The following is a 14,135-nucleotide window of genomic DNA, read 5'->3' as shown; positions in this document are numbered from 1 at the left end:
AGCTCCACTGTCATATGGAAATCTTACCTCCAATAAAGGGCCAAACCTGGCTACTAAAACCTAATCCACTTTCACAAACATGTGGCTGACCTGCCATTAGATCTGTGGTTTTTCTAAACAGTGGCTGAGGTGTTCACAGGGCTACCAAAGAATATTTTTATTTATTTATTTATTTTAAGATGGAGTTTCACTCTTGTCACCCAGGCTGGAGTGCAATGGCGCAATCTCAGCTCACTGCAACCTCTGCCTCCCAGGTTCAAGTGATTCTCCTGCCTCAGCCTCCCGAGTAGCTGGGACTACAGGTACCCACCACCATGCCTGGCTAATTTTTGTATTTTTAGTAGAGACGGGGTTTCACCATGTTGGCCAGGCTGGTCTCGAACACCTGACCCCGTGATCTGCCCGCCTCGGCCTCCCAAAGTGCTGGGATTACAGACGTGAGCCACCGCGCCCAGCCTCCAAAGAATATTTTAAATTTCAAGAAAAACACAGCCAGGCTTGATATCTGTCAGACACCGTGTGAACTACTAGCTTGAGGTAGAACTCAGTTTTAAAGCTACAGGTTATATCATGTTACAAACTGTTTGATGACATATATCTGTTCTCCCACTGCTATAAAGAAATATCTGAGACTGGGTAATTTATAAAGAAAGGAGTTTTGATTGGCTCATGATTCGGCAGGCTGTACAGGAAGCGTGGCAGGGGAGGCCTCAGGAAACTTACACTCATGGCATAAGGTGAAGGGGAAGCAGGCTCGTCTTACATGGCCAGAGCAAGAGGAAGAGGGAGAGGGGGAAGATGCTACACATTTTTAAACAACCAGATGTTGTGAGAACTCTATCATGATAACAGCACAAAGGGGACGGTGCTAAATAATTAGAAACAGCCCCCATGATCCAATCACCTCCTTCCAGGCCCCATCTCCAACATTGGAGATTACAACTGAACATGAGATTTGAGTAGGAACACAGATCCAAACCATATCATTTGCAAGGTAGGTCTTTTTAGCAATTGTTGTCGCAAAAAGCAAGTATATGTGAAAATCAGTGTGGAACAGGAAATGAGATAGTACACAATCTGATTCCAGGGTCTGAGAAGCTGTGAATGTCCAAAAAGCAAACACATCCCATTAGCAAGTAATTATTGTTAAGAATAAAATAATAGTACTTTTAAAAAGTATGTGCTATTTTTTCAAATGTTTACTAAGGTGTTAAGATATAAATATTTATTAATTTGGGGTATTGATAAATGCCACATTGATTTTCACATATACTTGGTTTCATTACAACAATTGCTAAAAAGATCCAGCTTTGCAAATTTATGATGTCATCAAACAGAATGTACTATGATATAACATGTAACTTTGAAACTGAGTTCCACCTCAAGCTAGTAGTTCACCCAGTGTCTGACAAATATCAAGTATGGCGGTGTCTGTTTTGAAATTTAAAAATATTCCTTGGCAGCCTGGTGAATTTGCTATAGCATTCAGGGACATTTCAGCCACTGTTTAGAAGTACGAATTTCTTATGGTGTTGGATATGTCACTTCCTATTAGGCCTAGAGACATGGATCTTATTGATGTCTCAATCTTAGACAATCCCAGACAACAGTACAGAAACTTTGCTACTCCCAGGAAATGCTAAAGAAAGGTGCCAATCAGAACCAATGGAGATACTTAACATTTAATAAGCACACAAGGGCTGGGGTAGATTTATAACAAATAAATCTGGATAGTCCTGTAGGCTCACCTTCTTTCCCCCTTTTGATGGCTTAGCAGAGAGCTGGCTCAACAGGTCTCAGTAAACTCTACAAAATAATACTACTAGCCACTGGAGTCTACAGGCTCCTCCTTTCTATCAAGGCTACTTTCCAGCCAGGGAACAATATTCCCTGGCCCTCTTACTCTATAAATTATGTAGAGCATTATACAGGCACGCCTCTCTCTATGGAAACATTGACCAAAATGCCAGATAATCTCTGCCTACTCTGTTCAGTAAAAAAAAAAAAAGAGAGTTCAGGGGATGATATGTGCTCTACTATTTCTCTGCATATAAATTTTCTTCCTATAAACCTAGTATATTTGCCCTGTAGGGTGCAGGGAGCCCCAAAGCCATGGCTTCCCACCAGGTATTTATAATTCATTCACCGTCCTCCCAATTGAGGTATAATTTTCCAATGGAGTAATTTTTTTAAGAGATGGGTGTCTCATTATGTTGCCCAGGCTGCACCTGAATCCCTCGGGTCAAGGGATCCTCTTGCCTCAGCCTCCCCAGTAGTTGGGTCTACAGGCACACACCACTGCACCCAGCCCCAATGGAGTAATTTTTAATGATAATGGATGTAGCTTGATTATACAGCTAACATTTCAACTTTATCGCATTTTCTAGAAAAATAGCATAAAAGTTAGTTAACCTGGGCTAATTTTCTATTGAGGAAGGAGAAAGGTTTCTGTTACTCCTTTTCACTCACATCAGCTTGGATTAATACCAAGATTAATGTCTATGACCACCAGGAACTATATTATCTAAAGAGATGTTGATATTCTCTCTGCTTCCTAACGAACAAAGTTTTCAGCTAACTAGTTTTTGAAAAACTCACAATATATATTTATCTTGGAAATCACAGGCAAGTTTAAAACATTGTGGGACTATGTTTAGCACACTAAACGTAACGCAGTAAAAATTTTTTTTACCCCTTTTAGAAACATTGTCTTTTTTTAATCCAAAGGCTCAGTTATATCCAGTCACAATGGAACAAGATTCTCACTACATTCTCCTTAGCTAGGGCTCTTAAAACACTTGGCCATTGTTCTTCACACTGTTTCAAACTGCCTGTCTTTAAAGGTTACTCCAGGGAGTTTTTGATCCTGACTTTCCATCTCTAGATGGCGGCAGAGGACTCCAGCCCAGGGTTAAATCAACACACTCGAGTACAATGGCTGACTGTCATAGCTCCCTAAACACATGGTACACGTGCGCCTCCACAATGACCCGCACTTCTCCACGCGGGTCTGAACTCTGGCATTTTCAGAATCAATCCAATAGAACCTCTTTGGTTCTTTCATAATCCCACTCACAAACATGGAGTCTGTGGGCTCCATTGCCCACCTCAGCCCATCAACCAGACCCCTGTGCTACATTTAGCTTGTAGCCACTGCAGCCAGGGCTTTGATATAACTAACGGTTCCACAAACGGCATCTGGCCAAAGGCATCAAAAACACCAAAAGCGGTACCATTTCTGTCAGCCCAGCTGCAGCCGGGTTTTTGGCTGTGCTATGCTGATAAAGTTTCACAAGATTGGTGTAGGGAGGGAGGGAGACCCTGGTTTGCAGTGTTTTCTGATTTCCATGGTATAACTCTAAACTATGGCCAATTTCAGGCTACTGTCACATAGGGGGAGCAGGAAAGAAGACATGCATACCCACGATCAGTTCCCATGAGCTCGTCTAAACTGGCCCCAGCTGGCTTGGTTTTGGGTCAGGTCCAATGTATGGTTGGTGAGAATGAGCACCTTTCCTTTTTTAAAAACTGAATTTTATTGTGTATATTTAAGGTTTACATGAAACCATGAAATACATATGGATAGTAAAATGGTTACTATAGTGAAGCAAATTAACATAGCTATCATCTCACATATTTTTGTATATGTAGCAAGAGAGCTAAAATCCTTATTTAAGTAAAATACAATTTTACTGACTTTAGTCCTCATGTTACACATTAGATCTCCAAATCTGTTCATCCTACCTGTCTGCTATTTGGTATCCTTTGATCTACATCTCTTCAGTTCCTCTCCCCACACCTGTGGTAACTACTGTTTCATTCTCTCGTTTTTGATCTCATATATATTCCACATATAACTGAGATCATGCAATAGCTTTCTGTGTCTGGCTTATTTCACTTAGCCTAATGTCCTCCAGGTCCATCCATGTTGTGGCAAATGGCAGAATCTCTCTCTTTTTTTAAGGCTGAATAATATCCTATTGTATATATACCTCATTTTCCTTACCCCCTTGTCTGCTGGTGGACATTTAGGTTGTTTCTATATCTTGGTTACCGTGAATAATGCTGCAGTGAACATGAGAGTGCAGATATCTTTATGAGGCGGTGATTTCAACTCTTTGGGGTATATACCCAAGAAAGGGATTACTGGGTCATATGGTAGTTCTGTTTTTCTGCGGGGAGGGAGCGGGGGGGGGGACTCTTGTTGACCAGGCTGGAGTGCAGTTGTGCAGTCTCAGCTCACTGCAACCTCCTCTTCCTGGGTTCAAGCAATTCTCCTGTCTCAGCCTCCTAAGTAGCTGTGATTACAGGCACGTGGCACCACGCCTGGCTAATTTTTGTATTTTTAGTAGAGATGGTATTTCACCATGTTGGCCAATCTGGTCTCGAACTCCTGACCTCAGGTGATCTGCCCGCCTCGGCCTCCCAAAGCGCTGGGATTACAGGCATGAGCCACTGTGCCTGACCAGCAGTTCTATTTTTAATTTCTATTTAAAGATAGAAACCTCCATACTGTTTTCCATAATGGCTGCACCAATCTACCTTCCTACCAACAGTGTTCCAGGGTTCCCTCTTCTCCAAACCCTAGCCAGCATTTCTCATCTCGTCTTTTGTCTTTTTTCCCCTATCTTTTTATAAACACTTTTTCTTTCAACCAAATTTACTCATTTCAGCTTTCATCTGCTCTAACTAGAATCGTCCTTCTCAGGTGCAACTCAGATGCAGGACTAGGGTGAGGCAAATAAGGTGCCTAGAGAAAATTTAAGGAGGCACTCTCAGGAATATACAAGTGCAGGTACAGCCCTAAGAGTGAGGACTTCCTTAAAATTTTCACCCTAGGCACCTCAATAGCCACACAGCTTCTGCCATCCAATCATAAGTGGATCTGTCCCTACCCAGACATCAATGTCTCATTAGCACTTCCCTACCACCCAGCCTTTTTTATCTCATAGTACCTTGGCTACATTTAGTCAAGATCTAAAAGTCTATCCCACTTTGAGGCCTACTGCACACTTTACTTGACCCAGCAGCGATGGTTTTTGGTTCAGTTAGGCAATCACACCTTCAAGACCCAAAAAGGCCAACCCCTCACCAGTTTACTCAGTTTTGCAGAAGAATATACAGCAGTGAATAAAGCATACTGTCTAGCAGCAGAGCAGCATCAGATGTGTTCCTTTAATGCAAGTCTTCACAGGAGTCCAGGGCTGTTCTTTTGCTTCCAAATTACAGCTCAGGTTCAAGGAAACAAGATTACACAGGTGGGTGTAGGAGCCTCTCTAGCTTAGTAGCCTCATGCCACATATAAAATACAATATATTTTGAACCTATGCAGGATTGGTACGAGAGTACTGCTGTCCTTCCAGGACTCAACAAGAAGAACACCTGGGTATGTCACACCACATTCAGGAAAGCCCAAAGCTATGGCTTCTCCTCAAGTATTTATAGTTCATTCACAATCCTCCCAGCTCAGATGCACTTTACCAATCAAGGGTTATGTTTACCACAGGCAATGCTGTAAGGTCACACAGCTGTCATTCCACCTTTCATAGATTGCAGAGAGAGTGCTGGAAGATCACCAGGAGGCCATTTTCACAGAAGACAGGAGAAGGAGTTTACTAACCCTTTGCTCACACACACTAAGGCACAACACCATAAAATTTCAGAATGTTGGGAATAAAGAAAACAACCTAAAACCTTCCAGATTTTTGTTTTTAAAAAGTCTTATTCAAAGTTTTAGTAATTAGAATGGCTTCATACCTTTCAACAACAGCTACAGAACCTAGAAGTCACTGGAGGAATATCTTCAAAATTCCAAGGAAAAATAGTTTCTAAAATAGAAATGCAAATCTACATAAACTATTAATCAAGCTTAAAGGCAGATCTCTCAGAGATGCAGAGACTTAGAAAATTTTCTTTAGTGGACCATTTCTCCGAAACTTCTGCAGAACCCCCATCCCCACCACACCAAACAAAGTAGTAATCCAAGAAAGAGTTGCAAATCCAAGAAATAGGAGATCTCTCATAGGGAAGAAGCAATATCTCAGAATGGTAATGAGAGATTTCAGGATGTTCAGCAGGCCTAAAGAGCTTATCATAGAGCAGTATGATGAGGGAATTATCCAGGGGAAAGAAGAAATTTATATTTCTGTCAAAGGATTTGGAGGTGAATTACTGATTGGATATTAAAAAAACTAAGGAAACAAACAAAAAAATCATAGAATAACCCTGGGGTAAAAGAGGGATTTAAGCACAGAAAAACCACTCTAACTGAGCTATGACCTGTCTTTACTATGCTGGGAGAATGGGAAGGGGGAAATGGACGTACATTGGGAAGGAGGGTGTTGGCTTTCAGAAACTTTTGGTTTACTGATCTAACAGCCATTTCTAATTCCCTTTTCCTTTGTCTCCCCCACACACTATATTCCCTTGGCTGGAGAAAGGATAATTACCCCCTTCCCAAGCTTCTCTGGTAGCTATGGGTGACCAAGAAACTGTTCAAGTCAATGACCTGTAATCAGGAGTTTAGTAAGGGTTTCTGGGAAAACTTTTACTTTCCTTACTGAACAAGTAGATTTGGCTGTCATCCCCTTTACTTTCTTTTTGTCTTGGACATGGATTGATGCCTAGAGCTGCAACAGTCACAAGTGCAAACATGAATCAACAAACAAAACATGGTAAGGATGGTGGAACAGAAAGAAAGAGCATGAGTGACATGACATGGATGAGCCACTGCGCTGACTCTGAACAGCCTGCCTCTAAGACTTATTAAATGAAAGCTCAGTCAGGTTTTCTGTTATTTACAGCTGAACACATAAAAAATTCTTAACTAATACACGGTAGATGAGGGTTACATACTCATTCTCTGTAGTAGGAAGTCAATACATGATGTCTAAAGATTTAAAAACCAAGAAATAACATGTTGAAGCATGTTATTTACTTGGAAACATGACAGTAAGCACCTGAAGAAATAGCTAAAAGAATGAAAACTGGATGCCACTGAGGAGTGGAAATTGAGGAAAGGTGGGGCTGGCGACTGCTATTTTTCTTTTTCTTCTTTTTTGAGACAGGGTCTTGCTCTGCTGCAAGACTGCAGTGCAGTGGTGTGATTACAGCTCACTACAGCCTGGACTTCTTGGGCTCAAGCAATCCTCCCACTTCAGCCTCCCATGCAGCTGGGACCACAGGCATGTGCCACCATGCCTGGCTAATTTTTAATTTATTTTTATTTTAGCAGAAATGGTGGTCTCCCTATGTTTCCCAGGCTGCACTATTTATTTATTGTAAGCCTTATAGTAGGGTCTCTCAACATCAGCACTACCAACATTTTGGGCCATATAATTCTTTGTTGTGTGGGGCTGTCCTATGCATTGTCTATCAGTGTTTCTGGCCTCTACCCATTAGATGTCAGTAGCAATCCCCCTTTTCCCCAACTGTGACAACCAAAAATGTTTCTGACCATTGCCAAATGACCCTGCAGGGCAAAACTGCCTTTGGTTAAGAACCACTGCCTTATAGTGCTAATTTTTTTTAACTTTTAATAATACTGTAAATGTACAATTTTCATAAAATTAACTATGGGTAAAGAGATAGTATGAAAGAAGCTAGACGGAATGTCATTTCACCTTTCAAACACCTCTCACTCTCCTTTCACTGACCTTTCCCTAAGCCTAAGAATCCCACTCCTTCCCTCCCAGCCAAGCACAGACAGAGCAGACACTTACCACCTAGAAATGCACACTCATAATGGCTGCAGGTCTTGTTTATGCTTTGAAGGATAAGGTTATTGCCAGCCCCCTCCTGTGACACTTGAAAAACCTCATTCAGAGGTATTAAAGTAATTCTTTCACTTTCTTTATCAAGAAAATTTTCAATGTCAACTCCAAGGCATGTGTAGATGGATAACACAGTGAGCTGGTCATTAGCAGCCTGAGGTTTGGCTGAATATGCCAAGGTAAAATGGCCAAACCTGGCTTGGTTTAGCCCTCCAAATGTAAATGAAGTGCCCTGGCTTGTTCTATATACCACAGTTTTGGAACTGGCCTCACAAGGTTTTCTCAGCAACTGCAGGGCTCTTGTGAGGTAAAAGTGGAAAGCTTTGAACTGGAAGCCATAGATATAATCTTCTCGAGATTGGCCAGCCATCTTCACAGCTTCACTGAACAGATGGTAAAAGGGAGTTTGCTCTTGAGCTTCGGAAATATATGCCATCAGGGCTATTCCATGGTTATCCTTAAAATTCATAGGGAGAAAGATTTGAGTCTTTCGGGCTGCCCATTTGGCTTTTGCATTTTCCCACACAGTATCTAATTGCTGGTGGCTTGCTTTTTCCTCCTTTAGCAGTTGGGGAACGTATTTAATTTCCATCCTGTCCGTACATTTCAGGTATTCATCATCAAATGCATTATCTGCCATGTCTAACACTTCAGCCTTCACCTTCAAAGGAAAAAGAAATTAATACTCTTGAAATAAGAAATTCAGTGAATATCATTTTCTCTCACATTATTACCCCCACCTTCTCATCCCTTGCCAAAATTCTCGCCTGACTTATAACCAATTTTGGGTAGGTTTTTATGCAGGAAGTATATTCCATTGCTATTGATAACTTTTCTCAGCTGTGCCATATTTGTGTGAAAGAGTAAATGTCAGTGGGTGAGAGGTATGGGTGAGATTGTGCCTGTAGCTCATTTATCTGGACATTATGGCACAGAGCAAAGAACAATGGATGTGAAGCTAAAGAAATGGGTGGCAGTCCTGGCTTTGAACATCTTAGCTAGATTTCTTCAACCCTTCAAGGCTGTTGGGAATTTGAAGTATCATATGCAAAATATTATTCATGATCTATAACACATAATGACAAACATTACCCTTTTCCTTTGGGGTTGCCCCCTCCCTTGTCCATATGGCCTGGGTAGAAATGATTTTGCACCTCCTGGATAAGCAGGTGATCTAAAGTCTAGCAATCAGAGCTCCCAGAGGAAAAAAATGGATCTTTCTTCCTCTAAAGCTGTAAGCTCTAAGGATAATATTGGCCTAGGGCTTCCAACAGTTATTCTTTAGTCCCATGGAGAATTCTGTCTTAAAATAAAGCAACAAATAAGGCTTGCTGAGCTGAGAGGTAGAGATGAGGACCCGAAAACATACTTTAGACGCTGGGCCTAACTGTACTCTTCACCAGTTGTAAGAATCAATAAATTCCCTGTTTGCTTCAGCTAGTTTGAACTGTATTTCAGTCACATACAACTGAAGAGGCATAATACCACATACAACTAAATTATACATATACATATGTTCACATAACATAAGAAGCAGGGTGGTGTAATGTAATTAACACCACTTTGAAGCCAGGCAGATCAGAGTTCAAATCCCATTTGTTACTAACTAGGTATGGGAAAGTTACTTGACATTTCTAATCCTCAAGTTTTCAATTTTAAAAAAAATTAGGATAAAAGGCCAGGTGCAGTGGCTCATGTCTGTAATCCCAGCACTCTGGGAGGCCGAGGCGGGCAGATCATGAGGTCAGGAGTTCAAGACCAGCCTGGCTAACATGATGAAACCCCATCTCTACTAAAAATACAAAAATTAGCTGAGCGTAGTGGCAGGCGCCTGTAATCCCAGCTACTTAGGAAGCTGAGGCAGGAGAATCGCTTGAAACCAGAAGGCGGAGGTTGCAGGGAGCGGAGACTGCACCACAGCACTCCAGCCTGGGCAAAAGAGCAAAACTCCATCTCAAAAAATAAAAAATAAATTAAAAAAGGAAGACAAAGTGGAGGAAATAGTATTTAACTGTGGGATGGCTGTGAGAATTAAATTATGTAATGAACATATGCAAAGCCCTCTGCCCCATGCCTGGCACATATCAAGTCTTTAACATGCCGTGGTTATTATTATTTTTTCATAAGGTCTTTCTCCAGTGTGATGTGGTTTTTTTGTATTATTTCATGCTAGGAATATATGTATTATACTGTTAGATCCTTAAGGGTACGGTCTGTATCGTTTTTATCTTTGAATCCTACACACCTAGCACAGAACCTGGCAAAATATTCAAGTGAACTACATTAGAACCCTGTACTCTGGCTTATGGATCAAAAAATAAGATGATCAAATCTCCCCAGGAATACCATTTATGAGTTTCTACAAATAAAAGGATAATGCCTCTTCCATTAGTCTATACTTGTATGGTGCATAGTTGCATAAGTCTGCTTAGGGACCTCAGTTGGAGACTTTATAGACATATTTAGCTAGAAGCTGTTAAAGTTACAGATTCAAAAAAAAAGTTACAGGTTCTATGTGAATGATACTTAAAAACTCTCTCTCTCTCTCTCTCTGTGTGTGTGTGTGAGAGAGAGAGAGAGAGTGAAAGAGAGAGAGACAGAGAGAGAGAGACAGAGATACTAACTTGTAAACGCAAAACAAAACTTGCTTCCATATCCTGCTCTAGGTATCTCCTTTCCCATCTCTCTTCTCTCCCTCACGAACAAACATCTTGAAAGAGATGTCTGTCCTTGCCATCTCCACTTCATTTCCCACGTATAGCTCAACCCTCCCCATTATGGCTTCCCACCCATTTCTCCACCCAAACAGCTCTCACTTAAGGGAGCATTTCTTCTTAGACTCTTTTGCAGACCCAACATATTCCAGTTAGCCATTAAATGTTGGAGTTCCTCAAGGCTACGTATTTTCTAACTCTCAACTCTACGCTCCCCAGGCAGTTATATACATGCTTACAGTTTCAATTATGATCTAAATATATCTGATCTATCCTGTAAGTGCCAGTCCTATATATCAAATTTATCTGCCTACTTAACACCTCCACTTGAATGTTCAAAGAACCTTCATACGTAACATGTCTAAGACGAAACTTACAATCGTACAGCCACAACGACCTGGTTCTTATTTAAAACCATTTTTCATTTGTGAACTTTTCCTACATATTTCCTTCTCAGACACACTGGGTGGACACTCTATCACTAAGTTTAACAAACATCTCCAGAGTTCTTTCTATATGCCAGGCACTAAGTGTTCGGCAACCTTGTGAGGTAGGTACTATTATTAGCCCCCCGCCTTTTTTTTTTTTTTTTTTAACAAAGATGAGGAAACTAAGAGATTGAGACTTACATGGAATTGGAATTTGATCTCAGGCAGTCTAATTCCAGAGTCTTGTCCTTTTTTTTTTTTTTAGACGGAGTCTCGCTCTGCCGCCCAGGCTGGAGTGCAGTGGCACTATTTCGGCTCACTGCAAGCTCCGCCTGCCGGGTTCACGCCATTCTCCCGCTTCAGCCTCCCCAGTAGCTGGGACTACAGACGCCCGCCACCACGCCCGGCTAATTTTTCTGTATTTTTAGTAGAGACGGGGTTTCACCATGTTAGCCAGGATGGTCTCGATCTCCCGACCTCGTGATCTGCCTTTCTCGGCCTCCCAAAGTGCTGGGATTACAGGCGTGAGCCACCGTGCCCGGCCGTCTTGTCCTCTTAACCAAACTGTTCTGTTGCCTCTAAAGAATCAGAATGTTTCCAATTATGAAGACCATGGACATTTATGTAGCACTTGAAAAAGAGTGTAATTCTGTCTTCATTACAACATTTATAAAAGGTTAACAAAAAATAGTTAACACCATTTTACAAACGAGGGAATTGTGCCAGCTTCAGAAACTATCTTGATTACTAGCCACAGAGAATTCTGCCATGGAAGTCATTAAGACCCCCGTAGTCCTGGGTTTGTAGGTCAGTTTCCTGACATGGGAATTTGAGCTTCAGGAGATCAAATCACTGCCATCTCATAGCCAAGAAATGCACTTTCCTCCACAGCACAGAATGTACCAGAGTGCAGCTTGGGTGCCAATGCCTGATTTATCTTCAAGACTTCAACACCGTATAAGACACCAGACCCTGAAAACACCTCCCACATTCCTTACATTATATCAGAGTTGATCTACTATGTTCCTGTCTTTTCCCTATGCCTCTAACCAGTCTCCAAATGTCTAATTTTAGACATCAAGTCTTTCTGGCCAGACACCATAGCTGATTGTGTATTTTGTATGGTGCGTGCCTTGAGCAGTGACAAAGTTCATAAATGCCACCACTATTCAGGGACAACTGAACAGATACTAAAAAACAGGTACAAAAGGCTAGGTGAACAAGCTGATTATATTTCTCTGATATAACCACCGAGAAAAAAAGCCCATACTAATGAAATTCAATTACCAAAAATTTCTTACAAAAATATGGAAATGACCTAAAGGTCAAGGAGAGAAACTGGCTAAGCAAATCATGAAACAATTACAGAACAAATACACTTAAATTATGTTGCAAGAGTATATTGAAAACCAAATCAAAACCACAATGAAATACCACTTCATATCCTCTACGATGGCTATAAATGATGAAAAACCAAGTAACATGTAACACAAGGATGCAGAGATATTAGAATCCTAATATACTGCTGGTGGGATTGTAATACCATGCAGCTAGTGTGAAAAAGTTTGGCAGTTCCTAAAAAAGTTAACATAAAATTACCGTACAACCCAGCAATTCCACTACTAGGTGTACACCCAAGAGAAGTGAAACATGTTCACAACAATAGGTAATTTTGCTATGAATCATAAATCATAACCCCCAAATTCATTCTTACATATATATTTCCTATATATAAGTAAACTTTACTCTGTAATGCTACCAAATAACCAAATAGTGTTTGTAGTATCTCAATATGTCAAGACTATATGATTAGAAAATTTTTTAAAAAGAAAAATAAAACACATGTTCACATAAAAACTTGTACATAAATGTTCACAACACCACTATTCGTAATAGCCATAAAGTGGAAACAGCCCAAATGTCCATCAGCTGATAAATGGATAAACAAGATGCGGTACGGCCATAAAATAGAATATTACTCGGCTATAAGAAAGAATGAAGTACTGATAGGACTCCTGAGAACATTATGCTAAGTGAAAGAAGCCAGACACAAAAGGTCACATATTGTATGATTCCATTTAGGCGAAATATCCAGAATAGGCAAAACCATAGACACAGAAAGTAGACAGTGGTTGCCAGGGAATGGGGGATGGAGAAAATTGGGGCTGACTGCTAATAAGTACAGGGTTTCTTTTTGGGTTGACGGAAATGTTTTGCAATCAGATAGTGGTGATGGTTGCAGAACATAATGAATATACTGAAACCACTGAAGTATACAGCTAAAAATGGTGAATTTTTATGGTATGTAAATTATATTTCAATAAAAAACATACTGCGACACAGGAAACAGGATACACAATGATTCTATAGAAAATGGATTAGAATATTAAATTCAAAAAAGGATAACAGTTTAAGAATTTAAGATATTTTTAAAAAGGCATCTAAAATGGTGCACAAATACCCACAAGTAATGTGGCAGCTAACAACGTGGGGAAAAAAAATCAAGTGAAATATTATATTTTACATAAAAATATGTTACAGGATGCTTAAAGAGTCAATTGCAAATAAAATCATAAAAGTTCTGCCAGAAAAAAAATGTGGGAAAATGGTCATTAATTAAAAAACATGTAATCAAACAATGCAGCATTATCTTATTTGGAGAAAAACATATATTCAGAATATCTGATGACATGCGTGACATGCAGCATAGTATTAACTTAAAATGCAAAGAAAAAATTCTATGTACAGTGTGAACCCATTTTTGTAAATTAAAAACAGTATACACATAGAAAAAAGCCAAGAAGCCTGTATACACCAACAGGTTGGGAATCATTCCCTCTGAGTGGAGGAATTATGAATAATCTTTACTTTCCTCTTTTTGCTTAATTTTAATTTTTTCAACTTTTTACAGTTAATCTGTCACATATTTAAAATGAAAAGAGCTACTTATAATTAATTTACCTATCCTACCTACTTTCATTTCCACCATCAAGCCACACAGATGCCTCAGGTAATGTTATATCAAGAATTTCCATTCCAGGCCAAGCGCGGTGGCTCACGCCTGTAATCCCAGCACTTTGGGAGGTCGAGGTGGGCGGATCATGAGGTCAGGAGATCGAGACCATCCTGGCTAACATGGTGAAAACCCGTCTCTACCAAAAATACAAAAAATTAGCCAGGCGTGGTGGCAGGCGCCTGTAGTCCTAGCTACTGGGGAGGCT

The 14,135-nt window shown here is 40.4% G+C and overlaps 1 protein-coding gene across 45 annotated transcripts in view; it reads right to left on the bottom strand.

Moving 5' to 3' along the window:
• ART3 (ADP-ribosyltransferase 3 (inactive)) overlaps positions 1-14,135 on the bottom strand; it is a 101,597-nt gene that overhangs the window by 22,530 nt on the left and 64,932 nt on the right. For all 45 annotated transcript variants that reach the window (XM_047415697.1, XM_047415700.1, XM_047415695.1 and 42 more), the window contains one exon: positions 7,722-8,433. In XM_047415697.1, the coding sequence (XP_047271653.1) occupies positions 7,722-8,433 (712 nt within the window). The remainder of the gene's footprint in view (positions 1-7,721; positions 8,434-14,135) is intronic.

The sequence above is a fragment of the Homo sapiens genome, chromosome 4 (assembly GCF_000001405.40).
Source record: "Homo sapiens chromosome 4, GRCh38.p14 Primary Assembly".
In the NCBI taxonomy this organism is placed as follows: Eukaryota; Metazoa; Chordata; class Mammalia; order Primates; family Hominidae; genus Homo; species Homo sapiens.
The sequence above is the reverse complement of the archived record's forward strand: the minus strand, read 5'-3'. Positions and strand labels throughout refer to the sequence as shown.